Below are 27660 nucleotides of genomic sequence, written 5' to 3' on the forward strand. Positions count from 1 at the left end.
CCGTACCCATCAAGCAGTCACTCGCTGTTCCCTCCTACCCCAGCCCCTGGTACCCACCAATCTGCTTTGTGTTTCTATGAATTTACCTATCTTGGACGTTCCATATAATTGGAACCATACCACAACATATGACCTTCAATTTCTGCCTTCTTTCACTTGTCATAATGTTTTCTGGATTCATCTACATTGTCAATGAAGTATCAATACCTCATTTCTTTTTAAAAATTGTGGCAAAATATACCTAACAAAAATTTATCATTTTAACCATTTCCTTTTTTCTTTTCTTTGAGACACAGTCTCCCTCTATTGCCCAGGCTGCAGTTCAGGGGCACAATCTTGGCTCACTGCAACCTCTGCCTCCCGGGCTCAAGCGATTCTCATGCCTCAGCCTCCCGAGTAGCTGGGATTTCAGGCATGCACCACCATGCCCGGCTAATTTTTGTATTTTTAGTAGAGATGGGGTTTTACCATGTTGGCCAGGCTGGTCTCGAACTTCTGACCTCAGGTGATCCACCCACCTGGGCCTCCCAAAGTGTTCCACCCACCTGGGCCTCCCAAAGTGCTGGGATTACAGGCGTGAGCCACCGCGCCTGGCCCATTTTAATCATTTCCAAGTGTACACGGTTCTGTAATATTTAAGTACATTCTCATTTTGGGACAACCGTCACCACTGTCCATCTCCAGAACTTTTTCACCTTCCCAAACTGAAACTCCAAGTCCATTATAGACTTTCCACTCCCTGTCCCCCAAATCCCTGATAACCACCATTCTACTTTCTGTCTGCCCGATTGTGAGTATTCTAGGTACCTCCTATAAGTCGAATCATATAGTATTTTTCCTTTTATGACTGAGTTATTTAACTTACTATAATGTTTTCAAGGTTCATCCATGTGCCAAAATTTCCTTCTTTTTAAAGTGAGCTGAGATCACGCCACTGCACTCAAGCCTAGGTGACAGAGTGAGACTCCATCTCAAAAAAAAAATTATAGTTATCCTTGTAGGTATGATGTGGTACCTCACTGTGGTCTTGATTTGCATTTCCCTAATAAGTAAGGATGCTAAATATCTTTTCATGTGCTTGTTGACTATTTGTATATCTTTAGAGAAATGTCTAAGTCCTTTACCCATATTTTAATCTTTTTGTTGTTTAGTTGTAACATTTCTTCCAGATATTGGACCTAGGAGCTCTCTTTAAAGATCTTGGACCATAGGTACTATATTGGTTCATTTTCTGTTACTTATATCAGAATACCTGAAACCAGGTAATTTATAAATAAAATGAATGTATTTCTTCCAGTTATGGAGGCTGAGAAATCCAAGGTTAAGGGACTGCCTCTGGTATTCCTGTCTCTTCTCCTTTTTCCACTAAAGGCCTGGTTGCCTTGACTGCTTCCAAGAGACTGGCAGGGAAAAGCAGTCTAACCATCCACAAATGTTAGCTAGATGGTAAACCTCCAACTCTCAATAATGAACCTGCCTACTGAGGGAAACACAGCCAACTCCAAATATAATGGGATTTTCTTGTGTTGTTTGTTTGTTTGAGACAGGGTCTTCCTCTGTCTCCCAGGCTGGGGTGCAGTGGCACCGTCTTGGTTCACTGTAGCCTCAACCTCCCGGGCTGACGTGATCCTCCTACCTTAGCCTCCTGAGTAGCTGGGACTATAGGTGTGTGCCACCACATCCCGCTAATTTTTTATTTTTAGTAGAGATGAGGTTTTGCCACGTTGCCCAGGCTGGTCTCAAACTCCTGGGCTTAAGCAATCCTCTGACCTTGACCTCCCAAAGTGCTGGGATTACAGGCGTGAGCCATTGTACCAGGCCAAAATTAGTTCAGACCAGATCAGATTGTCCTATTTAATAGCCTTTACTCTGAGATATTGGTTAAGCTCACAGAGCTGGGTCCCAGGCAAACTAACTGAGTCTAAGCCCCAGGGTGGTGGCACCTGCCCCAACCTCTGCATTGCCCAACCCTCACAGAGGCAGGAAATTCCTCCTTCCTGATGCTGCAATCAGTCCTAGTCAGTTTCAGAATCGGGGGTCATATGCAGATTACAAAAGGCCATCTTCAAAGAAGCTGCTTATAGATTTCATGAAGTTTCTTAGGAAGTAAAACTTTCTGACTTATAGACAGCAAATGGCTTCCAAGAAGAATAGTACTGCTCACATAATAGTGCAGTATGAGCTGGGTGCAATGGCTCACGCCTGTAATCCCAGCACCTTGGAAGGCCGAGGCGGGGGGATCACCTGAGGTCAGGAGTTCGAGACCAGCCTGATCAACATGGAGAAACCCCATCTCTACTAAAAATACAAAAAATTAGCCAGGCATGGTGGTGCATGCCTGTCATCTCAGCTACTCGGGAGGCTGAGACAGGAGAATCACTTGAACCTGGGAGGCAGAGATTGCAGTGAGCTGAGATCGCACCATTGCACTCCAGTCTGGGCAACAAGAGCAAAACTCTGTCTCAAACAAAACAAAACAAAACAAACACTGCAGTATAACCTGAAATGGGGTATACAAGCATCTTTTCACCCATGATAGGCCACTCCTTACAAGAAATCCCATTATTCATTTTAAAAAAGAAATGGCAGCCAGGTGTGGTGGCTCATGCCTGTAATCTCAGCACTTTGGGAGGCTGAGGCAGGCAGATCATGAGGTCAGGGGTCATGAGATCAGGAGTTCAAGACCAGCCTGGCCAACCTGGTGAAACCCCGTCTTTACTAAAAATACAAAAATTAGCTGGGCATGGTGGTGTGCGCCTGTAATCCCAGCTACTCAGGAGGCTGAGGCAGGAGAACTGCTTGAACCAGGGAGGCAGAGGTTGCAGTGAGCCAAGATCAGGCCACAGCACTCCAGCCTGGGCAACAGAGCAAGACTCCGTCTCGGGGTGGAAAAAAAAAAGAAATGGCTATGTTACAGTTTTGACAGTAAATAATTTGTAAGTCATTACTCTCATATGATGAAAACATCTACTGTCCTATAATTGAAAAAAAACTTTTTTTTTTTTTTTTTTTGAGACAGAGACTCTCTCTGTTGCCCAAGCTGGAGTGCAGTGGTGCAATCTTGGCTCACTACAGCCTCTGCCTCCCAGATTCAAGCAATTCTCCTGCCTCAGCCTCCCGAGTAACTGGGACTACAGATGTGCACCACCACGCCTGGCTAATTTTTGTATTTTTAGTAGAGACGAGGTTTCATTATGTTGGCCAGGCTGGTCTCAAACTCCTGACCTAAGGAGATCCTCCCACCTCGGCCTCCCAAAGCGCTGGGATTACAGACGTGAGCCGCTGCGCCCAGCCTGATAAAAAAACTTTATGGAAGGTTTTTTAAGGTTCCTAGGGCTGGTTATTGCTGGAAATCATAAACAAAGTGACCATTTAAGTATAAGAATCATCTGTATATCTAGCCTAGCCAACGTGGTGAAACATCGTCTCTACTAAAAATACAAAAATTAGCTGGGCGTGGGGCATGGTGGCACACACCTGTAATCCCAGCTACTTGGGAGGCTGAGGCAGGAGAATGGCTTGAACCAGGGAGGTGGAGGTTGCAGTGACCAAGATCGCGCCATTGCACCCCAGCCTGGGCAAACTCTGTCTCAAAAAAAAAAAAAAAAAAAAGAAACATCTGAATTTGACTTTTAAAATTATGACTATATATCATAATTCAATCAATAAATATGTTAAATGATTTTTTTCTATGAAGGATAAAGTAATATTTTCCCTAAAACCAATCATAAGAAGAAAAGTACTTCCTTTAGTGCAAAGTTATAACATAGGCCAGTGGTTCTCAAAGTGTGGCACAGGCAACCCTGGAGAATCCCCAAATCTTTTTTTAGGAGAACGGTCTATGAGGTCAAAAGTATTCTCAAAATAATACTGGGGCCGAGCGCAGTGGCTCACACCTGTAATCCCAGCACTTTGGGAGGCCGAGGCAGGCGGATCACTGGAGGTCAGGATCCCTGACCAACTTGGTGAAGCCCTGTCTCTACTAAAAATACAAAAATTAGCCAGGTGTGGTGGCAAACACCTATAATCCCAGCTATTTGGGAGGCTGAGGCAGGAGAATTGCTTGAACCTGGGAGGTGGAAGTTGCAGTGAGCTGAGATCACGTGAGTGTGCTCCAGACTGGGCAAGAGTGAATCTCCATCTCAAAAAAAAAAAAAAAAAAAGATACTGGGAATGACTTGTCTAATTTACTTTCATTGTCTCATGAGTGTAGACAATGAGTAGAGCTTTGCTGAGCCTGTAAGATACATAGAATTACATATATACAATTGAATCCTGTGTCTTCTGTTAAGGCAGAAAAAATTCTTTGCAAAATTGTAAAACAATGTCATTCTTCTCACTATAACTTTTTTCTTTTGGAAATTCTTTTGTGAAGTTATTTTTTGCATAACTGTTATTTATGTTAACATTTTTATTGTATTCATGTAAACATTATTTTATATATTTTAATTTTAAGTTAGCCTACAGTAAAATTGACTTTTCTTGTGTACAGTTCTATCAGTTTATTATTATTATTATTATTATTATTATTATTATTATTATTTTGAAACAGGGTCTCACTGTCACCCAGGCTGAAGTACACTGGCATGATCACAGCTCACTGCAGCCTCCCCCTCCTGGGTTCCAGCGATCCTCCCACCTCAGGATCCGAAGTAGCTGCGATTACAAGCATGCACCATCACACCGGGCTAATTTTTCTATTTTTTGTAGAGATGGGGTTTTGCCATGTTGCCCACGCTGGTCTTAAAACTCCTTGGCTCAAGTGATCCTCCAGCCTCGGCCTCCCAAAGTCCTGGGATTACAGGCATAAGCCACCATGACTGGCCAGTTCCTGAAGTTTTAAAAAACACAGATTCATATAGCCACTGCTTCAATGCAGATACAAAAGAGCTCTATCACCCTAAGAAACTCCCTCATGCTGCTCCCTTAAGGCCACATTCTCCCACTAACTCCTGGCAACCACCGATTTGTTGCCTAACATTTATAGTTGCATCTTTTTGAGGTTGTCATAAATGAAATAATACAATATGTAAACCTTTGAGACGGGCTTCTTTCACTCAGAATGTTACCTTTGAGATCAATCAAGTTGCTGGGTCCCTTTTTTTGCCGGGTAGTCTTCCATTCACTGTATGGATGTACCAAAGATTACTTACTCATTTACCAGTGGGAGAAGTTTTCAGTGTTTCCAGTTTGGGGGTATTACAAACAAAGCTTTATGAAACACCGCTATACAAGTTTTCATGTGACCATAACTTTTCTTTTTTTTAATTTTATGTTGGTTTTTTTTTTTTTTTTTTTTTTTTGAGACAGAGTCTAGCTCTGTCGCCCAGGCTGGAGTGCAGTGGCGCAATCTCGGCTCACTGCAAGCTCCGCCTCCTGGGTTCATACCATTCTCCTGCCTCAGCCTCCCGAGTAGCTGTGACTACAGGCGCCCGCCACCACACCCGGCTAATTTTTTGTATTTTTAGTAGAGAGGGGGTTTCACCGTGTTCGCCAGGATGGTCTCGATCTCCTGACCTTGTGATCCACCTGCCTCGGCCTCCCAAAGTGCTGGGATTACAGGCATGAGCCTCCGCACCCGGCCATAACTTTTCATTTGCTAAGGTAAATACCTAGGAGTGGGACTGGTGGGTCATATAGTAAGTATATGTTTAACTTTATAAAAGGCTGCCAAGTGTTCTTCCAGAGTGACTGCGTCATTCTCCATTCCCACCAGAAATGTGTGCAAGTTCTAGTTACTCCACATTCTCCACATCACTTGGTCAGGTCAGTTTTTCTATTTTAGCTGATGGTGTGGTGTCTCACTATGGTTTTTTTGGTTTGTTTTTTGGGAGGCAAGGTCTCACTCTGTCACCCAGGCAGGGGTGCAGTGGTGCTATCATAGCTCACTACAACTTCAATCTCCAGGGCTCAAGTAATCCTCTCACTTCAGCCTCCCAAGTAGCTGGGACTACAGCGGTATGCCACCTATTTTTTATTTTTAGTAGAGACATGCCCAGCTATTTTTGATTTTTAGTAGAGACAGGGTCTCACTATGTTGGCCAGGCTGGTCTGGAACTCCTGAGCTCAAGCAATCCTCCTGCCTCAGCTTCCCAAAATGCTGGCATTACAGGCATGAGCCACTGTCCCCAGCCTCACTATGGTTTTAATTTGCACTTCCTGATAGCTAATGATGTTGAAAATATTTTCTTGTGCTTATTTTCCATCGATATAACTTCTTTGATGAAGTATCTGCTCAAGTCTTTTACCCATTTTTTACTTAAACTCTGTTTTCCTTCTGTTGAGTTTTGAGAGGTCTTTATATACTCTGAATACTAGTCTTTGTCAGATAAGTGATTTCTCAACATTTTCTCCAAGTCTGTGGTGTGTATTTTTATTCTCTTCACAGTGTATTTTGCAGAGCATGGGTTTTAAATTTTATGAATCCAATTTGTCATGTTTTTTAGTGGATCAGGCATTTGACATCATATCTAAGAACTTTTTGTCTAACTTCAGTTCATGAAAATTTTCTTCTGTTTTCTTTTTTAAATATTATGCTTTGAATTTTAACATTTACGTGTAAAATCAATTTTTAGTTAGTCTGTGTATAAGGTGAAATTTAGGTCAAGGTTCATTTTTTTGCAGGATGACTAATTATCCCAACACTGGTTTTGGAAAGACTGTCCTTTCTCCTTTGAATTACTTTTGCACCTCTGTCAAAAATCAATTGGTCATCACCTCATACCCATCAGAATGACTACTGTAAAACAAAACAAAAAACAGAAAATAATGAGTGTTGGTGTCAGAGGCATTTGAGCCAGAGCAACTCCATCTTGAATAGGAGCTGGGTAAAATAAGGCTGAGACCTGCTGGGCTGCATTCCCAGGAGGTTGGGCATTCTGAGTCACAGGATGAGATACAAGGTCAGCACAAGATACAAGTCACAAAGACCTTGCTGATAAAACAAGTTGCAGTAAAGAAGCCGGCCAAAACCCACCAAAACCAAGATGGTGATGACAGTGACCTCTGGTGGTCCTCACTGCTCATTTTACACTAATTATAACGCATTAGCATGCTAAGAGACACTCCCACCAGCACCATGACCATTTACAAATGCCATGGCAATGTCAGGAAGTTACTCTATATGGTCTAAAAAAGGGAGGAACTCTCATTTCTGGGAACTGCCCACCCCTTTCCCAGAAAACTCATGAATAATCCACCCCTTGTTTAGCATATCATCAAGAAATAACTATAAGTATACTCCAGTCAAGCAGCCCATGCCGCTGCTCTGCCTATGGAGTAGCCATTCTTTATTCCCTTACTTTTTTTTTTCTTTTTTGAGACTGAGTCTTGCTCTGTCACCTAGGCTGGAGTGCTGGAGTACAGTGGCGCGATCTTGGCTCACTGCAACCTCTGCCTCCTGGGTTCAAGCAATTCTCCTGCTTCAGCCTCCCAAGCAGCTGGGACTACAGACATGCGCCACTATGCCCAGCTAATTTTTGTATTTTTATGAGAGGCAGGGTTTCACCATGTTGGCCAGGCTGGTCTCGAACTCCTGACCTCATGATCCACCCGCCTCGGCCTCCCAAAGTGCTGGGATGACAGGCATGAGCCACCGTGCCCGGCCTATTCCTCTACTTTCTTAATAAACTTGCTTTCACTTTACTCTATGGACTTGTGTGAATTCTTTCTTGGGAGAGGTCCAAGAACCCTCTCTTGGGCTCTGGGTCAGGACCCCTTTTTGGTAACACTGCTGAGAATATGGAGAAACTGAAACTCTTGAGCACTGTTGTCATGAGAATGTAAAATGGTGTAGCCACTAAGGTAAACAGTATGGTGGCGCCTCAAAAAATTAAAGAGAGAATTACACTATGATCCAGCAATTCTACTTCTGGGTGTATATTAATAATAATGTATGCTAAATAACATATACTACTAATAATAACCAAACTTGATTTATCCTGCTATACTCACCAACACAGAGTACTTCAGACACCAGACGTGTATGGGGTTCTCCCCACACACCAAGTAAGTAACCACCTCTGCAGCATGGACACCAACTGGGTGTCCTCTAATTCAATTCAATTCTGACACTATCTACCTGGAGAGAGCATCAGATCCCACAGGTTGAGTGCTCAGTCCACAAGACTGCCCCCCACTTCCTATGCCAATTGCAAGCCCCAGGTTGCTTTACCTGCACTTCTTACTGACTGGCTATAAATGGGGGATCCCCACCTCTGGTCCGATTAATTTGCTAGAGTGGCTCACAGAACTCAGGAAGACACTTAACTTTTAACTTACATTTACCAGTTTATTATAAAGAATATTACAAAGGGTATTGATGAAAAGATGCCTAGGGTAAGAGATGAAAATAGACGTGGAGCTTTTATATCCTCCCAGGCATGCCACCCTCCAGGAACTTTCATGAGTTCAACTATTCAGAAACTTCCCACACCCTGTCATTTGCAGTTTTTATAGAAGCTTTGTTAGGTAGGCATAATTGATTAAACCATTGACCGCTGGTGATCAACTTAACCTTGAGCCCCTTTTTCCTCTCTAAAGGATGGGGCTAGGGCCAAAAGTCCCAACCGTCTAATCATTTCTGGTGACCAGCCCCCATCCTGAAGCTACCTAGGAGCTGCCAGCCATCTGGCAACTCATTAGCACACAAAAAGACATCACTTTGGAGATTCCAAGGATCTTAGGAGTTGTATGCCAGGAAATTGGAACAAAGACCAAATATATATTTCACAGTACAACAATACCCAAAAGAATTGAAAGCAGGGAATCGAACAGATATTTGTATACCCATGTTCATAGCAGCATTATTCACAATAGCCAAAAGGTAGAAGGAACCCAAGTGTCCATGCATGAATGAATGGATAAACAAGATGTTGTATACACAAACGAGAGAATATTATTCAGTGTTAAAAAGGAAAGAATTTCTGACAAATGGATGAACCTTGAGGACATTACATTAAGTGAAATAAGCCAGTCACAAATACTATATGATTACTTATATGAGGTACCTAACATAGTCAAGCTTATAGAAAGAGAAAGTAGAATGCGGGTTGCCAGGAGCTGGGGAAAGGAGAAAGGGGCAGTTGTTGTTTAACGGAAATCGAGTTTGTTTTGCAAGACGAAAAAGTTCTGGAAATTAGTTGCACAACAATATGAATATATTAAACCATACTGAACTGTATGCTTAAAAATGGTTACGATGGTAAATTTATGTTACATGTAGTTTACCGCAATTTAAAACAATCAATTGGCCATATTTGTGAGGATCTATGTGTGGGTCCCATTCTGTTCCATTGATCTATATGTCTAAGTCTTCTCCAATACCACACTGCCTTGATTTCTGTAACTTGATAGTGTCTTTTTGTGTGTGTGTGTGTGTAAGACAGAGTTTCACTCTTGGTCGCCCAGGCTAGAGTGCAATGGCATAATCTCAGCTCCCTGCAACCTCCATCTCCCGGGTTCAAGCGATTCTCCTGTCTCAGCCTCCCGACTAGCTGGGATTACAGGAGCCTGCCACCACACCCGGCTAATTTTTGTATTTTTAGTAGAGATGGGGTTTCACCATGTTGGCCAGGCTGGTCTCGAACTCTTGACCTCAGGTGATCTGCCCACCTTGGCCTCCCAAAGTGCTGGGATTACAGGTGTGAGCCACCGTGCCCGGCCTTGATAGTGTCTTAAAATTGAACATTGCTTATTTTTTATCTGGGGGAAGGGGGTGAGGTAAGATGGATAGCTATAAACAGAACTACTAGTATTGGAAATATATTCTTAAATAAACACAATGGACACAGTCTGATAAGCTTTATGCTGAGAAAGATGGGGACATGTTATATTTCTCTGTTTTCCAGTGCCCAGGCCAGTGCCTAACTACCATTGAGTAAGCACTCAATAAATGGTTTTTTTTGTTTTTGAGACAGGGTATTGCTGCGTTGCCCATGCTGGAGTGCAGTGGTGCAATCATGGCTCGCTGCAGCCTCCAGTTCCTGGGCTCAAGTGATCCTCCTGTCCAGGCTGGTCTTGAACTCCTGGGTTCAAGCTATCCTCCTGCTTCAGCCTCCCAAAGTGCTGGGATTACAGCACTTGAGTGCCCAGGCACTCAGTAAATTTTTGACAAAGGAATGAAGATATAACTTTCTTCACCCATTGCAGCCTAAAATGCAAGAGAAGCTCTGGGATATTAAAATGAGAAACAGTCTTGGAAAAAAATTAATTTGAGCACACAGAATATTTTCCAGTGTGCACTACAAAAAACATGTAGTCAAAAATATCCATAGAAGTGTTGCTTAGAATGGGGCAAAAGCCCAAGGGAAAACCCACCCTCACAGGGTTAATGAGAATTACAAGCCAGGCTTTAGGCTTGTATTGTAGTCAGGCATCAACCAGCATGCACTGGTGTGCTCTGACTCATTTCCCTGCAGCTGCTAACTAATCGAGGGTCATGCAGCACACTGACCACCTGCTCCCCCATTGCTCCCATAGATAGAATCTGACACTGGACATTTTACCCAAGAATTGCTTAAGGTGTTTTTCAGATCCTGAATTCCAGCAGAATGGCTGATGCCAACCGTCTGAAAACCCCTACCAAGAAAACGACTCAGCATCTCCTGGTCCCATGACTTCACTCCCCACTTCTCAACCAGTCAGCAATCCCCATACTTTAGCCCATCACCTGTCCAGACCCCTTAAAATCCCCATCCCCAAACCTCTCAGGGAGGCAGATTTGAAGTTTCCTCTCGTCTTGTCTTCTCATTCGGCTGCCCTACAGTTATTCAACTCTTTCTCTGCTGCAATCTCCACTGTTCTGGTGCATTGGTTTGTTACCATGCAACAGGCAATCGAACCTGGTGGTCCTATAACCATATTAAAATGAAACTGAGAAATAAATAAATAAATGTGAAACAGAGAGGTGTGACTTAGAAATTGTACACATTGGGTGTCACAACTTCCCTATACTTTGTGTTTTCATACTGACCTTGTTCACACTAATAAAGTGCCAACCTTGACTGACTGACTGTGATTCTGATGATGAGGAGGAAGAGGAGGAGAATAGGGATATGGTAAGAAGATTTTAAACCATTCTCTTTTCTCATCTTCCAAGTATTTACAAGTGGCTCAATTTTTCCAAGTATTCCTTTCTTTCTACAGAACTTCCATTAAAATAAAAAACAATTCTAAATCAAGCCTTATGGACAAGAATTAATGGTTCTCCCTAATATATCCCAAATCGGTGTGTCACTTGGGCAAGTCACCTCTCTCCCAGATTCTTATTTGTCCTACACGTAACTGGGGTTTTGCAACAGATGTTACTCTTCCTTCTCCTTTCCAGGTCTGTTAGAAACTTTATTAGGAAAGCCTGAAAGTAAAATCTGTACTGTTTACATCCAGAGAAAAGTTTATACTGACTAAATAATTTCCTCAAATCTGGTCACCTTTCTATGGGAAAATTCCTCATCTTAACAATGTTTCATGCATAAAGTCATCTGGCCTCTTAACTGCATTGTTGGATATTTTTAAGACCAAAAGCTTGCTAAACCCAAAACAGCAAAAGCATTCAGCTGAAAATAAAGTGAAAAGCCACATATGTCTTAGAGGGAGAAAACAGTGCTAATGATTTTAGGCCTTAATAGTTTCAAGATCCCGATTGGCTGCTCTGAAAAGCCATCTTTGCATTGTTCCTTGTCCAGCTCCTTGCTCGCCGCGGCTGCCTCCACCGCAGACTCTGGCAGCTTTATCGCCAGAGTCCCTGAACTCTCGTTTTCTTTTTAATCCCCTGCATCAGATCACCGGCGTGCCCCACCATGTCAGATGCAGCTGTAGACACCAGCTCTGAAATCATTGCCAAGGACTTAAAGGAGAAGAAGGAAGTTGTGAAAGAGGCGGAAAATGGAAGAGACGCCCCTGCTAACGGGAATGCTAATGAGGAAAATGGGGAGCAGGAGGCTGACAAGGAGGTAGATGAAGAAGGGGAAGAAAGTGGGGAGGAAGAGGAGGAGGAAAAAGAAGGTGATGGTGAGGAAGAGGATGGAGATGAAGAGGAAGCTGAGTCTGCTACAGGCAAGCGGGCAGCTGAAGATGATGAGGATGATGATGTCGATACCAAGAAGCAGAAGACCGACAAGGATGACTAGACAGCAAAAAAGGAAAAGTTAAACTAAAAAAAAAAGGCCGCCATGACCTATTCACCCTCCATTTCCTGTCTCAGAATCTAAACGTAGTCACCTTCCAGTATAGCTCGGTACCCCCCCACCATGGGCAGTGCCACCCACAGATGACACACACTCTCCACCACCCAACCTAAACCGTAAGAATTTGCAACAGGGGAGGAAAAAACAACCAAAACTTCCAAGGCCCTGCTTTTTTTCTTTTTTCTTTTTTTTGAGGCAGAGTCTTGCTCTGTCACCCAGGCTGGAGTGCAGTGGTGCGATCTCGGCTCACTGCAAGTTCCTCCTCCCGGGTTCATGCCATTCTCCTGCCTCAGCCTCCCGAGTAGCTGGGACTACAGGCGCCCGCCACGACACCCGGCTGATTTTTTGTATTTTTAGCAGAGATGGGGTTTCACAGTGTTAGCCAGTATGGTCTCGATCTCCTGACCTCGTGATCCACCCACCTCGGCCTCCCAAAGTGCTGGGATTACAGGCGTGAGCCATCGCGCCCGGCCTGCTTTTTTTCTTAAAAGTACTTTAAAAAAAGAAATTTGCTTGTATTTTTAATTTACATTTTATATTTTTGTACATATTGTTAGGGTCAGCCACCTTTAATGATCTCGGATGACCAAACCAGCCTTCGGACCGTTCTCCGTCCTACTTCTGACTTTACTTGTGGTGTGACCATGTTCATTATAATCTCAAAGGAGGAAAAAAAAAAAAACTTGTAAAAAAAGGGCCAGGCGCGGTGGCTCACGCCTGTAATCCCAGCACTTTGGGAGGCCGAGGCGGGCGGATCACGAGGTCAGGAGATGGAGACCATCCTGGCTAACACGGTGAAACCCCATCTATACTAAAAATACAAAAAATTAGCTGGGCGCGGTGGCGGGCGCCTGTAGTCCCAGCTACTCGGCAGGCTGAGGCAGGAGAATGGCATGAACCCGGGAGGCGGAGCTTGCAGTGAGCCGAGATCGCGCCACTGCACTCCGGCCTGGGCAACAGAGCAAGACTCTGTCTCAAAAAAAAAAAAAAAAAAAAAAAGATTGTTTTTCTGTTGTCATTTTTGCTTTTCTTACAAGTTTTTTTTTTGTTTTTGTTTTGTTTTGTTTTTTTTTTTTGAGAGTTAGTCTCGCTCTTTCTCCCAGGCGGGAGTGCAGTGGCGCGATCTCGGCTCACTGCAAGCTCTGCCTCCCGGGTTCAAGCCATTATCCTGCCTCAGCCTCCCCAGTAGCTGGGACTACAGGCGCCCGCCACTACACCCGGCTAATTTTTTGTATTTTTAGTAGAGACGGGGTTTCACCGTGTTAGCGAGGATGGTCTCCATCTCCTGACCTCGTGATCCGCCCACCTCAGCCTCCCAAAGTGCTGGGATTACAGGTGTGACCCACCACGCCCAGCCCTGAAAAACAATCTTATTCCCACCATTGCAGTAACTTTTTTGTGTATGTACTTAGCTGTACTATAAGTAGTTGGTTTATATGATTTGGTTAAAAAGGCCGGCTGGCATGGCGGCTCACGCCTGTAATCCCAGCACTTTGAGAGGCCGAGGCGGGCAGATCATCTGAGGTTGGGAGTTCAAGACCAGCCTGACCAACATGGGGAAACCCTATCACTACTAAAAATACAAAAAATCAGCCGGGCGTGGTGGCTCATGCCTGTAATCCCAGCTACTGGAGAGGCTGAGGCAGGAGAATCGCTTCAACCCGGGAGTCGGAGGTTGTGGTGAGCCAGGATCCGCCATCGCACTGCAGCTTGGGCAAGAGTGAAACTCCGTCTCGAAAAAAAAAAAAAAAAAAAAAAACTAACTAAAAAACAGGCCAGGCGCAGTGGCTCACACCTGTAATCTCAGGCCTTTTTTTTTTCTGGGAGGCTAAGGCGGGCAGATCATGAGGTCGGGAGTTCGAGACCAGCCTGGCCAACATGGCGAAACCCCGTCTCTACTAAAAATACAAAAAATTGGCTGGGCGTAGTGGCGGGCGCCTGTAATCCCAGCTACTCGGGAGGCGGACATTGCAGTGAGCCGAGATCGTGCCACTGCACTCCAGCCCGGGCGACAGAGTGAGTTTCCATCTCAAAAACAAAAAGGCCAGAGATAAAAGGCTTCTTTTTTTTCCTTTTATTTTTTTGAGATGGAGTCTCGCTCTGTTGCCCAGGCTGGAGTGCAGTGGCACGATCTTGGCTCACTGCAACCTCCACTTCCCGGGTTCAAGCGATTCTCCTGCCTCAGCCTCTGGAGTAGCTGGAATTACAGGCGTATGCCATCACGCCTGGCTAATTTTTGTATTTTTAGTAGAGACGGGGTTTCACCATGTTGGCCAGGCTGGTCTCAAACTCCTGACCTCATGATCTGCCCACCTCAGCCTCCCAATGTGCTGGGGTTACAGGCGTGAGCCACTGCGCCCGGCCTTTTTTTTCCGTTTTTTTGTTTATAAAGTTGCTGGGGTTTTTTTTGGCCTGTTTGATATATGCATGAAACAATGTTGTCCAACAATAAACAGGAATTTTATTTTGCTGAGTTGTTCTTAAAAAAATAGTTGCAATATACCAGAGAGAAAATAAACAAGTAGGCTTTCAAAAATATCAAGGTTATTGGTATTTAAAATCAAACTATGGCTAGGCACGGTGGCTCACACCTGTAATCCCAGCTCTCTTGGGAGGCTGAGAAGGGAGGATCACTTCAGGCCAGAAGTTCGAGACCAGCCTGGCCAACATGGTGAAACCCCGTCTCTACTAAAAATACAAAAACTAGCCAGGTGTGGTGGTGCACATCTGTAATCCCAGCTACTTGGGAGGCTGAGGCAGGAGAACCACTTGAACCTGGGAGGCGGAGGTTGCAGTGAGCCGAGATCACACCACTGCACTACAGTCTGGGTGACAGAGTGAGACTCCATTTCAAAAAATTTTAAAAATAAAATCAAACCATTAGAGTAGTTCAGACCTTCCCCTAACACTTGCAGGGCCCAGACTAAGAATGCAAAAGAAGGCCCAAATATCCTATATCCAGGTATTTAAGTTGCAAATCGAATTAAACTGTCAGAGAAAACATGCTCTATCTTCCTAGCTTGACAAATGCGCCCTTCTAAAACATTAAGCTTTTTTTTTTGGCGGGGGGTTGGAGGGGACGGAGCCTTGCTCTGATGATGCCCAAGCTGGAGTGCAGTGGCATGTTCTTGGCTCGCTGCAACCTCCACCCCCGCAATTCAAGCAATTCTCCTGCCTCCGCCTCCCAAGTAGCAGGATTACAGGCATGGGCCACCACACCTAGCTAATTTTTGTAATTTTTTAGTAGAGACAGAGTTTCACCATTTTGACCAGGCTGGTGTCAGACTCGCAACCTCAGGTGATCTGCCCACCTCAGCTTCCCAAAGTGCGGGGATTACAGAACATTAAACTTTTAAAATTGGTTTAAAGCTCTATTTCTCCTAAGGTAAAAAAATGGAGCTAGTGCAATGGTGTGCACCTATAAACTCAGCTACCCAAGAGGCTGAGGCAGAAGGATTGCTTGGCTCAAGAGTTTGAGACCAGCCTGGGCAACACAGCGAGACCTTGTCTCAAAAAAAAAAAAAAGGCAAAATGTCAAGATAATTGAGTGTGATTATGGTTGAATGTGTCCGGATGCTCTGATGATAAGCTGGTGATTAGGGGACGAGTAATAAAATAAAATACATATTGCATTATTATTATTTTTTTGGGCCTTCACTTATGTTATTTTATTTTCCAAGACGGAGTCTCACGCTGTCACCCAGGCTGGAGTGCAGTGGCGCGATCTCGGCTCACTGCAACCTCCGCCTCCTGGGTTCAGGCAATTCTCCTGCCTCAGTCTCCTGATTATCTGGGATTACAGGCATGCATCACCATGCCAGGCTAATTTTTGTATTTTTAGTAGAGACGGGGTTTCACCATGTTGGCCAGGCTGGTGTCCAACTCCTGACCTCATGATCTGCCCGCCTTGGCCTCCCAAGGTGCTGGGATTACAGGCGTGAGCCACCGCGCCCGGCCCACTTATGTTATTATAATTGAAATCCGCACATAATTTATGCTCTACTGACGGTATAGATGCTTGTTACATCTAGTCCTACATACATACAAATGTAAGAATAGCATGCATCATTCAGTGTTAGAAAATGTTTCTCAGGTGCTATACGCAACTGTGGTGAATACCAAAGTGATTTAAGTACCTCAGGAATCAGAATTGGAATGTGAAAAGAACACGAATGCTCAGCATACCAATATTTCAATTAGGCAAGAGCTAATTGCTTTCATGCTAACCACGTGTAAGGATTTGGCAGGCAATTATGTTTTTTTCTTTCTTAAGTGCTTCCTCCTCTGGAATCCTTCCTCTAATTGGAACAGTATCTGCTTTGACATCAGTGGCATACAACCCACAAACTCTCATGACCTTTGTATGCAGGTGCCTTGTGTGTTGGGAGCATAGGTCAAGAGATATCCCTTGGTGAGCAGTGTTGCACATAAGCGTTGGTGTTTAGGGCTTTAGGTCATGCTGTGCCAGCACAGGGCATGGGGTCCTGAGAGACGAAAGCACCATTTGCCTGTAACAAAGCAACATAGGTATTGGGGTGCATAAAATGTGTCGGGGTGCCAGGGTTCACAGCAGGGTCCCTCTTGCCTGGGTCTAAAGGAGATATTGCTGCACTTCATAAACAAAACATTTGTACTAATTATGCCAAGAAAATTCTTTGTTCAACCTGATTCTACCCCTTTTAGGTATCCAATATAATAAATTACAACTCCATAGTATTAAATTAATGTCTTCTTAAAGTAGAATCATAAGAACAGTAGAGAAATATAGTAATAAGGGAAACAATAAATTGGGGTCCTGTTCACTAGCAAATCGTGCCTGCTCTTTGTTGAAAATGTGAAAATTAAGGTAAATAGCATTATTTTCTAAAGCACGTACACAGGGTAGAGCTGTTGTAATTGTGTTTTTGTTTTTTTGCATTTCAAAAAGTCTCCTAGGCCGGGCACCGTGGCTCATACCTGTAATCCCAGCACTCTGGGAGGCCAAGGCGGGCAGATCACCTGAGGTCAAGAGTTCGAGACCAGCCTGGCCAACATGGTGAAACCCCGTCTCTACTAAAAATCACCCATTTTCCTTAGTTCATTCAACAGTGGGATTCCTGTGGACTTATGTTTTCTAGTTTTGTGGGGGAAAATCAGAACTACTTTCCCAGAGGAAGTGAAAGTTAAGCTGAGACTTAAGGAGGTGGCATTCAGCCAGGTGAAGGGCAGTAATCCAGGTAAAGTATCGAACCATATATCCCCCCAGTTCTCAGTAGTGCTCAGGGGACATTCCCATTAGTGATGATTCATGTGGCAGTGAGCAGGAGAAGCAGCTGACTGCCACGTAGGACAACTGCTGTTTTACTCCTAGCTATCTCTCTTGCCCAAGCAGTAGTATACAAGTGGGCATGTCATATATTAAAAAATATATATTCAATATATACAAATATGTATCATATATTATTTATATTATATATATCTATAGGTATCCATCTATCTATCTAGGAAACAACATAAGAAATGTAAGAGCTGGTCCCTTGCATTGGAGAAGTTTATACAGCAGTGAAGGATATAAACAGGAGAATCAGACTTAGGGAAAGTGAATAAGGAAAAAACATCACGAAATGCCAGGTAAGTGAGTGACCTGCATCATACTTGCACTTAAAGCTTCGTCTCTTCACTCCCTGAACAACCAGTGAAACAGAAAGCAAGGATAGGGGAACTGGCTAACAGCTGGTTTTGATGTCTTGTCCCAAGAACTCCTTTCTGGCCTGGCGCAATGGCTCACGCCTGTAATCCCAGCACTTTGGAGACTAAGGCGGGCGGATCACTTGAGGCCAGGAGTTCGAGACCAGTCTGGCCAACATGGTGAACCCTGTCTCCACAAAAAGTACAAAAATTAGCCAGGCATGATGGCGCACACCTGTAGTCCCAACTACTCAGGAGGCTAAGGCATAAGAATCACTTGAACCTGGAAGGCGGATTTGCAGTGAGCTGAGATTGTGCCACTGTACTCCAGCCTGGATGGCAGAGTAAGACTCTGTCTCTGGGAAAAAAAAAAAGAAGTTCTTTCTGATATCCGGAACGCCTTCCGTCAAAAAGAAAAACACCACCAAAAGAAACCAGTCACCCCATTACAGTGTGCAGGTAAAGAGCACTGAGTTAGACTTCTTCCTCCAAGGGCTGGTCCCAAGCTGCAACCTGGACACTCCTATAGCTAGATGCCTGCGGTGTGCAGCGGCTCCCCAGCCCGAGGCCTTTGCGGAGGCTGGGCTCATCCCACTCACCTAGACCTGGTGAAGGGGGAAGGGAGGAGGGCCAAAGGTGTGGGGCAAGGGAGGGTGAGGAGAAAGAAGGAAGACAGAGACTACAGCACTCCATGGTCAATGGCATAAAAGAGGGCCGGCTACCTGTTGTCAGGGCCACTATCACAACCTCCTGCTACTCCCATGCATGGGAGGGGCAGGGCTGGGCCTGGGTGCTACCTGGGAGGGGCATCCATCCATAATCTGGATCCAGGCCCCACCTGTGCCCCTTCCCTTCTGGAACTCCCACCCTCACCCGCTTCTCTCTGCTGGGTTCAGTCTTTCCGTCGGGGAAACCTGTGGCACTGTTTGTCTAGGTAAAATCAGGGCCCCGGCTTTATTCTGGGAAGCTCTGAATAATAATTACTAGGGAGAAGAGGGAGGAAGCAACGCGGTAAATCAAGAAAGGACTGGGCGCTGATGAGGTCCCCGCCACTGTGTTGTCACTGAGCTGTTGTGGTGCTGCTGTCAGCGCACCCGGGCCCACCTAAACCTTTCCATTTCTTACCTACATTTGGTCTCATTCATTCGCATCTAGAAATGTATTCAAATGAAAAACAATCCAGGATATATGCATACGTTAATTTTCAGGGATGTTTAGCAAGGCTATTTGTGGTAGAAAAATTGGAAGCTACATAAATAACTAACAATAGGCGACTGATTCTAAATCATGGAAATTCGTTTAGTAAAACTTTTTTTTTTTGAGACAGAGTCTAGCTCTGTGACCTGGGCTGGAGTGCAGTGGTGCAATCTCGGCTCACTGCAACCTCTGCCTCCCGGGTTCAAGTGATTCTCCTACCTTAGCCTCCCAAGTAGCTGGGATTACAGGCGCCCACCACCACGCCCAGCTATTTTTTGTATTTTTAGTAGAGACGGAGTTTCACTGTGTTGGCCAGGCTGGTCTCAAACTCCTGACCTCATGATCCACCCGCCTCAGCCTCCCAAAGTGCTGGGATCACAAGCATGAGCCACCGTGCCCGACCAGAAATTTTTTTTTAGACAGGGTCTCACTCTTTGCCCAGAATGCAGCACAGTGGCATGATCATGACTCACTACAGTCTCCAGTTCCTGGAATCAACCAATCCTCCTGCCTCAGCTTCCTGAGTAGCTGGGATTACAGATTCATACCACCACCCTTGGCGTGTGTGTGTGTGTGTGTGTGTGTGTGTGTGTGTGTGTGTGTAGATGGGGGTCTGTGTTGCCCAGGCTGGTCTTGAACTCCTGGGCTGAAGCCACCCTTGCGCCTCGGTCTCCTGAAGTGCTGGGATTGTACGTATGGGCCACCACACCCAGCCTTTTGGTAGAATTTATTGCGCACATTTAAAGTCATTTTATGGGAGAATATTTATGATTGACAGAAAATGCTCACTATAGGCCAGGTGCGGTGGCTCACGCTTATAATCCCAGCACTTTGGGAGGCCGAGGCAGGTGGATAACTTGAGTCAGGAGTTCAACGCCAGCCTGGCCAACATGGTGAAAGCCTGTCTGTACTAAAGATACAAAAATTAGCTGGGCGAGGTGGCCTGTGCCTGTAGTCCCAGCTACTTGGGAAGCTTGGGAAGCTGAGGGGGGAGAATTGCTTCAACTCCGGAGGCGGAGGTTGCAGTCAGCTGGGATCATACCACTGCACTCCAGCTGGGCAACAGAGGGAGGCTCCATCTCAAAAAAAAAAAAAAAGCCCACTATATATTGAGTAAGGAGAAAGCAGTTTACAAAACAGGTTTTGGCGGGCTTCAGAAGAAAACAGGGAGACATAATATGGATGGGCAGAGACAGGAAAGTGGTATCTCTAGGTAGCTGGCTGCTAGGAATAAATTTTATGCCGTGTTATTTTTGCAAAGATAAGAGACAAAAGGATATGTTTTAAATTGCGGGGGTGGTCAGCAGTTCACTCACCGGTGCTGTGGGCTTTGTTCCCTCCCTGGAAAGGGACGGAGAATTCCACATCCAGAGGGAGCCCTGCCGTCCATGGTTCTGAGCTTGAAGTCACCAGGACTTCTTTCAAACTTGTGTGCCGAGGAGACTCCCTTGTTGGCCTCAGTTCCCAGGCTGAACTCAGCAGCTCAGCCCATGAAAACTTCTGTATTGAGACAAAGGAAAGGATCTGTCAGAAAGCAACACCTATTGTCCTGAACTTGACACTAAGAAAGAGGACAAGTGATAAAGAAACTGAAGACAAGTGGTAGAGAGAGGTGTAACATTCCAGCCCCTCAACCTAGAAATGTTAGTAGAATCAACAACAGCTTAACAGACCAAGAGTCAGAATCCCCCAATGAAGATTCTTCATAAGAAAAAAGAAAGAAGACAGGGATATAACTCATCAGCAGCTGCAGGGCAGGCCATGCAAGACGGGGGAAAGAACAAAAATTTTCCAAAAAATCAAAATTGGAACTCTGAACTTTTCAGGTCCCAGCTTACTTTTTAAATCTCAAGCTAATCAGAACTTTGCCAGGGCCAAATGTAGTGAACCTCCATCACCAAGTGTTCTTCCCAAACCACCAAGCTGTTTCCTTTAATTCTTCCGATAAGGCAATAATGACATTTTAACTTAAAACCTTACTTAAAGTACAGGTACAAAATAAGATAAAGTACTAATGTTTACATTTAGCTATGTTTACAGATAGTTGTCAACTGGTCTAAAACAAATACACCAAGGGATTAATGTATTAGTGTAGAACTGTTAATTAGTATAAAAAATAAAATTGACTTCATCTCATTTGTTTTATGTGTTGGGTGCACTGTGATGTAATGATAGCATCAGTGCAACTTAAAGTAACTAAATTAATAATTGTACTAATTATTAAGGGTTCTCAAATGAGTTTTTTTTTTTTTTTTGAGACAGAGTCTTGCTCTGTCACCCAGGCAGAAGTGCAGTGGTGCAATCTTGGCTCACTGCAACCTCTGCCTCCTGGGTTCAGGCGATTCTCCTGCCTCAGCCTCCTGAGTCGCTGGGATTAAAGGCGTGTACCACTACGCCCAGCTAATTTTTATATTTTTTGTAGAGACGGGGTTTCACCATGTTGGCCTGGTCTCAAACTCCTGACCTCAAGTGATCCGCCTGCCTTGGCCTCCCAGAGTGCTGAGATCACAGGCATGCGCCACTACACCCAGCCTCAAATGAGTAACTTTTAAGTGAAACCATTCAAGTTTAGATTTGGGGACTAGCAAGGGCATCAACTTTTTCTACTGAATGTTGGGGGAAAATAGTAATATAAGATTATTATTCATGGATAATAGATTGCTGAAAGTGAATCAGATTGTAAACATCTAGCTAAGACACAGGATTAAGAAGTAGGTAAACTTCTGAAAGTTCAGTATACTAGAAGCACTCAAACCAGTAATATGCCAACAACCTGATGCACTGCCAAAAGAAAATGTGAAGTTTTCCTAATAGTTGTATTTTAGTACAGTGGTGAAACTGGAAAGGGCACTTGGGGTTTATTAGAACGAGGCAGAGTATACCCCAATGTCCCTTTCTCTAAATGCAGTGGATAGGTGTCTGCCAACAAATACACCAAAACCTTTTTTTTTTTTTTTTGAGATGGAGTCTCCCTCTGTTGCCCAGGCTGGAGTGCAGGGGCACGATCTCTGCTCTCTGCAAGCTCTGCCTCCTGGGTTCATGCCATTCTCCTGCCTCAGCCTCCCGAGTAGCTGGGACTACAGGCGCCCACCACCATGCCCGGCTAATTTTTTGTATTTTTAGTAGAGACGGGGTTTCACCATGTTAGCCAGGATGGTTTCGATCTCCTGACCTCATGATCCGCCCGCCTCGGCCTCCCAAAATGCTGGGATTACAGGCGTGAGCCACCGCGCCCAGCCCAAAACCATTTTTAAAAAAATAAAACATCATTTAACGGTCACTCAATAGCTTTCAAAATACATTTTTATGGCTGGGCACAGTGGCTCACGCCTGTAATCCCAGCACTTTGGGAGGCCGAGGCAGGCGGATCCAGGGTCAGGAGTTCGAGACCAGCCTGACCAACATGATGAAACCCCATCTCTACTAAAAATACAAAAATTAGCCAGGCACAGTGGCACATGCCTGTAATCCCAGCTTACTCAGGAGGCTGAGGGAGGAGAATCGCTTGAACCCAGGAGGCAGAGATTGCAGTGAGCCAAGATCTCGCTACTGCACTCCAGCCCAGGCAACAGAGCGAGACTCCATCTCAAAAACAAAACATTTTTATATTATGGCACTGCCTAAGCTATTCTGATAGTAATACGACCTCATCATTTCTGCAAAGCTTGCCTTGGGGAGAGGAAGCTTGCTTTGGAGAGTTGTATAATGTGAAAGTTTTAAGTAACTAGGGAAGAAAGAGCCATGTAAATACATGTAATAAACTTGTAGCATATGTAAAGTTTTCTTGGCCTTTATCCTACAAAAACAGAATATTTTAGTATGAATTTGCTGAACATAAAAGAGTGTGGACTTTTTTTTTTTATAGTATGGTCTAATTTTAAAGGTCCAAAATAATTTTTTTTTTTTTAAATCACTTTATTCTGGCCGAGTGTGGTGGCTCACGCCTGTATGTAATCCCAGCACTTTGGGAGGCTGAGGCGGGCAGATCACGAGGTCAGGAGATCGAGACCATCCTGGCTAACACGGTGAAAGCCTGTCTCTACTAAAAATACAAAAATTAGCCAGACATGGTGGCACATGCCTATAGTCCCAGCTACTCGGGAGGCTGAGGCAGGAGAATTGCTTGAACCCGGGAGGCAGAGGTTGCAGAGAGCCGAGATCACGCCACTACACTCTAGCATGGGCAACAGAGCCAGACTCCGTCTCAAAAACACAAACAAAAAAAAGAACTTTATCTTAAACTAAAGTCTGTTGCCAGGCACAGTGGCTCACACCTCTAATCCCAGCACTTTGGGAGGCCAAGGCGGGCAGATCACTTGAGGTCAGGAGTTTGAGACCAGCCTTGCCAACATAGTGAAACCCCATCTCTATTTTTTTTTTTAGATGGAGTCTCGCTCTGTCACCCAGGCTGGATTGGAGTGCAGTGGCACAATCTTGGCTCACTGCAACCTCTGCCTCCCAGGTTCAAGCAATTCTCCTGCCTCAGCCTCCCAACTAGCTGGGATCACAGGCGCCCACAACCACGCCCAGCTAATTTTCGTATTTTTAGTAGAGACGGGGTTTCACCATGTTGGCTAGGCTGGTCTCAAACTCCTGACCTCATGATCCACCCGCCTTGGCCTCCCAAAGTGCTGGGATTACAGGTGTGAGCCACTGCACCCGGCTGATAATTTGCATTTTTAACTGCTTCCCAGGTGATGCTGATGCTGATGGTCCAGGAACCACACTTCCAAGAATCACGGAAACAAAGCCTATATTCAACAACAAAATTTGCATAATTCTGTCTCCCTTTTATCTCAAACAACAGCTTAAAGGAAAGAAAATAGATTAAGTATCATCCAGAATACATATAATGTCATTTTATTTAATTCTCACAACACTCTACAACATAATTGTTACATCATTTTGTGGAGGAGGATGTTACATCTCAGAAATTAAGCAACTCCTCAACATTATACAGTAAGGAAGGGGTGAACAAATGTGTTTGACTTCAAAATCTACATTCTCTGTTATACCTTGTTGCTTCTAACGATGTTTAGCCAGCATAATTGTATTAGCCCAGAATTTTAACTTCATTCTACTTTCTATGTCGTGGTCTGTCTTCTACTTAGTTGTAGTCTATTTTAAAATTTTTGTTATAAACTGGTTCAAATTATCTAAAGAAGGCCAGGCACGGTGGCTCACGCCTGTAATCCCAGCACTTTGGGAGGCCGAGGCAGGCGGATCACGAGGTCAGGAGATCGAGACCATCCTGGATAACACGGTGAAACCTCGTCTCTACTAAAAAAATCCAAAAAAATAGCCGGGCCTGGTGGCAGGTGCCTGTAGTCCCAGCTACTCGGGAGGCTGAGGCAGGAGAATGGCGTGAACCCGGGAGGCGGAGTTTGCAGTGAGCCGAGATCACGCCACTGCACTCCAGCCTGGGCGACAGAGCGAGACTCCGTCTCAAAAAAAAAAAAAAATTATAACTTGGGGGAAGTGTAAACCACACTAACCACATGACAAAAGACATTACGAAGAAACACATCTTACTGCTCACCGGTAGCACAGGTCACTGTTCCTTAGGAACCGGTCCACCATATTCTCCACTCGCACAAACCAGCTGGGCACTGCTTTGTAAACGAGGGGAGTGTCTCTCACATCGCCAAGTACTAACCAATAACCATATCACATACCTCTAATACATATAAATTCAATTCTCTCACTCTCCTGTATAAACACAGAACCCCATCTCTCTATCAGAGACACATATACTACATTCCCAGAATATATAACCCTAATAACCACTCACTGAAAAATACAAGCACATAGCTCCACAAAACATTCATCCAAACTGCCATGCCCTTGAACACACACACACACTCAATACTCATGGAGTTCCCTGCATGCCCTAAGTATACCTGCGATTAGCTAACACGCCACAAATATGCAAACATGCCACCTCATATCCCCAAATACACATCCAGTCCCACAATACCTGCACATATGTAATCACACCTCTAAATGCTCACACAGAAGTAACTCCTCCATTTTCCAAGACACAGAATCATACAAAGTCCACCTCACAACTGCACACATTCATTCTACCAGTCCCCCAATAGTCATGGATCTGCCCTCACACATTGAAATGGCCATACACAACCCCTGAAAATCGTGAAAAGAAACACACACAATGATGCAACATATCCTAAGCACACAAATGGTCTTCCTACATTCCCCAAATATGTAAACCACAGTGTACATCCACAAAAATAGACACAAGCACTTTCTCTATTATTGCCCACATGCACAACAAGGTAATTCTTCCAGATCTGCCAAACATTAGACAAATACAAATCCCCAACATTCATTTCAGAAAACTTATGGAAAATACATCTTCACAACCCAAATCACAAATATCGAACCCCAATTCTTCTTGTATACACATATTACACCTCATATCCTCCAAATATAAACACTCACACCTACACACTCTCACAAAAGCAGTTATGAATAGTTATGAATGACCTTCTTTACTTTTCCTTTTTTTTTTTGAGATGGAGTCTCGCTCCTGCCTTGAAGTGCAGTGGCGTGATCTCCTCTCACTGCAGCCTCTGCCTCCTGGGTTCAAGCAATTCTCCTGTCTCATCCTCCCGAGTAGCTGGGACTACAAGTGCATGCCACCACGCCTGGCTAATTTTTGTATTTTTAGTACAGATGGCGTTTCGCCAAGTTGGCCAGGCTGGTCTTGAACTCCTGACCTGAAGTGATCCGCCCACCTCAGCCTCCCAAAGTGCTGGGATTACAGGCATGAGCCACCATGCCCAGCCCAATTATGACCTTCTTTAATCTGCAATCTCCACACAGACACCACCAACCCACACAGGTGAATACATATTAGATTCTCACGAATTAAATACGCAACAAATTCCAAACTAAGCATTCATATAAACACATTTTCACATACACACAGCCACCCCCACAAATCTCACACCCCCCAAAATGCAAAACAAATCTTTCTCACATTCTCAAGTACACACACTGACCAACTGCCCAGGACACACACGTGTGTGCAGTAAATTTTAGATATAATACATGTGTAGTCTACAATTTACAAATAATAATATACACTACTTTTTATTTAAATTCCACATAAGTAAGCGATTCTCATAGAAGCTTTTCTTGACTTTGGCCACACTCTTGCTTCCACAACCAACTTGTGCTACCAAGTGAACAGACTATGAGTAAAGGCCTCTTCTTCCACTTTGCAGCTGCTCATATCATTGACAAACGAGCATATTAGAGCATGCATGCTGGCTGATCATTCTGATTAAGGCAACAAGCTTCACAACTCACTCAATGAGGTCGTCCGTGAGAACTTCACTGATTTTACGAGGACAGGAGCTACTTCTTTGCTGAAATGCATCACGGTTTCAACTGCTGAGGTTTTCCGCAACCTTTTGCATTGTTTGGAATGTGAGCAGCACGGCCGAGACAAACTTTGGGGTTCCCACTGCATTGTTAAACCTCCCCCTTCACTTCAAGGCCAGGTGAGCAAGGGAAAGGAGCGCGGCCTGGGCGTCCCGCAGGGCCCCGCTAAGGACCGCTCCCGCCTTGAGCGCAGCCACAGGCCCTCTCTGGCCACAAGGATGGGGTCGCCCCGCAGACACTGGTGACCAGCGGAAGCATGACCAGGAGGCGATTACCTTCTAATCACAAATAACTTTATTTTTAGGTAACACCACGGAGGACGCCATGAGAGCTAAGGCCGTTGGGTAACCGCCCTTTCCGCTCGCGCTGCGTCGTCTCCCTGCCCCGAACCACCGGCAACCGATGCTGGGAGCGGTTGAGGGCGGCCGGCTGCGCGCTGGAACCCCGCCCGCCTCGAGGCTCCTACACAGGCGCGCGGGGCAGGCGTGGAGCCCGCCCTGGGAGGGCCCCGCAGGAGATGGGGAAATGGAGGGACGCCTCACCAGGGCGCTTCCTGGGGCCAGGCGACGCCTTCTCCTTGGAGCCTCCAAGACCGTCCCTCCTAGAAACGAGAGAGTCTGACCGGGCGCGGTGGCTCACGCCTGTAATCCCAGCACTTTTGGAGGCCGAGGCGGGTGGATCACCTGAGGTCGGGGGTTCGAGACCAGCCTGGCCAATATGGTGCAATCCCGTCTCTACCAAAAATACAAAAATTAGCCAGGCGTGGTGGCGCGCACTTGTAGTCCCAGTTACTTGGGAGGCTGAGGCAGAATTGCTTGAACCCAGGAGGCGGAGGCTGCAGTGAGAGGAGATCACACCACTGCACTTCAAGGTGGGAGCAAGACTCTATCTCAAAAAAAAAAAAAAAAAAAAACTGGTACAGAAGCAACTCACTGACTTGAGTTTGTAGTAGCTTCAGAACAAACTTTCATCATCAGATCCTTTCTGCTCATTTGCAGGATTCCTACCGTCTGTCTCCACATGATGACGCTGAAGAGCCTTCACGTCTATGACGGCCTAGGGCCTCAAGTGCAGAGACTGACAGCTCTGCCAGACACAGCATGGAGCCGCCATTCCTCTACTGTTCAGTGATTGGGTGGAAGAGCATCTGTCCTCTGAACAGGGGATCCAAGCCCTGAGATGATGTTTCTCAGCAGTCAGT

The 27660-nt window shown here is 45.0% G+C and overlaps 1 protein-coding gene and 2 pseudogenes across 2 annotated transcripts in view, besides 3 other annotated features; 2 read left to right on the plus strand and 1 right to left on the minus strand.

Moving 5' to 3' along the window:
• Nucleotides 1–27660, minus strand: part of ZNF782 (zinc finger protein 782) — a 117643-nt gene that overhangs the window by 82114 nt on the left and 7869 nt on the right. The window contains exon 2 of the mRNA XM_047422874.1: nucleotides 20366–20549. The gene's annotated coding sequence lies outside the window, so the exon portion shown is untranslated. The remainder of the gene's footprint in view (nucleotides 1–20365; nucleotides 20550–27660) is intronic.
• On the plus strand, nucleotides 10798–12178 carry PTMAP11 (prothymosin alpha pseudogene 11; annotated as a pseudogene). Its single transcript, NR_028350.1, has one exon. The product of NR_028350.1 is annotated as a prothymosin alpha pseudogene 11 (transcript).
• On the plus strand, nucleotides 17789–21114 carry PNRC2P3 (PNRC2 pseudogene 3; annotated as a pseudogene).
• Nucleotides 19536–20035: an enhancer, noted in NCBI's record as "H3K27ac hESC enhancer chr9:99680095-99680594 (GRCh37/hg19 assembly coordinates)". NCBI's record gives its function as "activates a minimal SCP1, AML or CMV promoter by ChIP-STARR-seq in primed H9 embryonic stem cells {active_cell/tissue: H9 hESC(primed)}" and the evidence as "EXISTENCE:reporter gene assay evidence [ECO:0000049][PMID:30033119]".
• Nucleotides 20323–20841: an enhancer, noted in NCBI's record as "NANOG hESC enhancer chr9:99680882-99681400 (GRCh37/hg19 assembly coordinates)". NCBI's record gives its function as "activates a minimal SCP1, AML or CMV promoter by ChIP-STARR-seq in naive H9 embryonic stem cells {active_cell/tissue: H9 hESC(naive)}" and the evidence as "EXISTENCE:reporter gene assay evidence [ECO:0000049][PMID:30033119]".
• Nucleotides 26274–26817: an enhancer, noted in NCBI's record as "H3K27ac-H3K4me1 hESC enhancer chr9:99686833-99687376 (GRCh37/hg19 assembly coordinates)". NCBI's record gives its function as "activates a minimal SCP1, AML or CMV promoter by ChIP-STARR-seq in primed H9 embryonic stem cells {active_cell/tissue: H9 hESC(primed)}" and the evidence as "EXISTENCE:reporter gene assay evidence [ECO:0000049][PMID:30033119]".

The sequence above is a fragment of the Homo sapiens genome, chromosome 9 (genome assembly GCF_000001405.40).
Source record: "Homo sapiens chromosome 9, GRCh38.p14 Primary Assembly".
In the NCBI taxonomy this organism is placed as follows: Eukaryota; Metazoa; Chordata; class Mammalia; order Primates; family Hominidae; genus Homo; species Homo sapiens.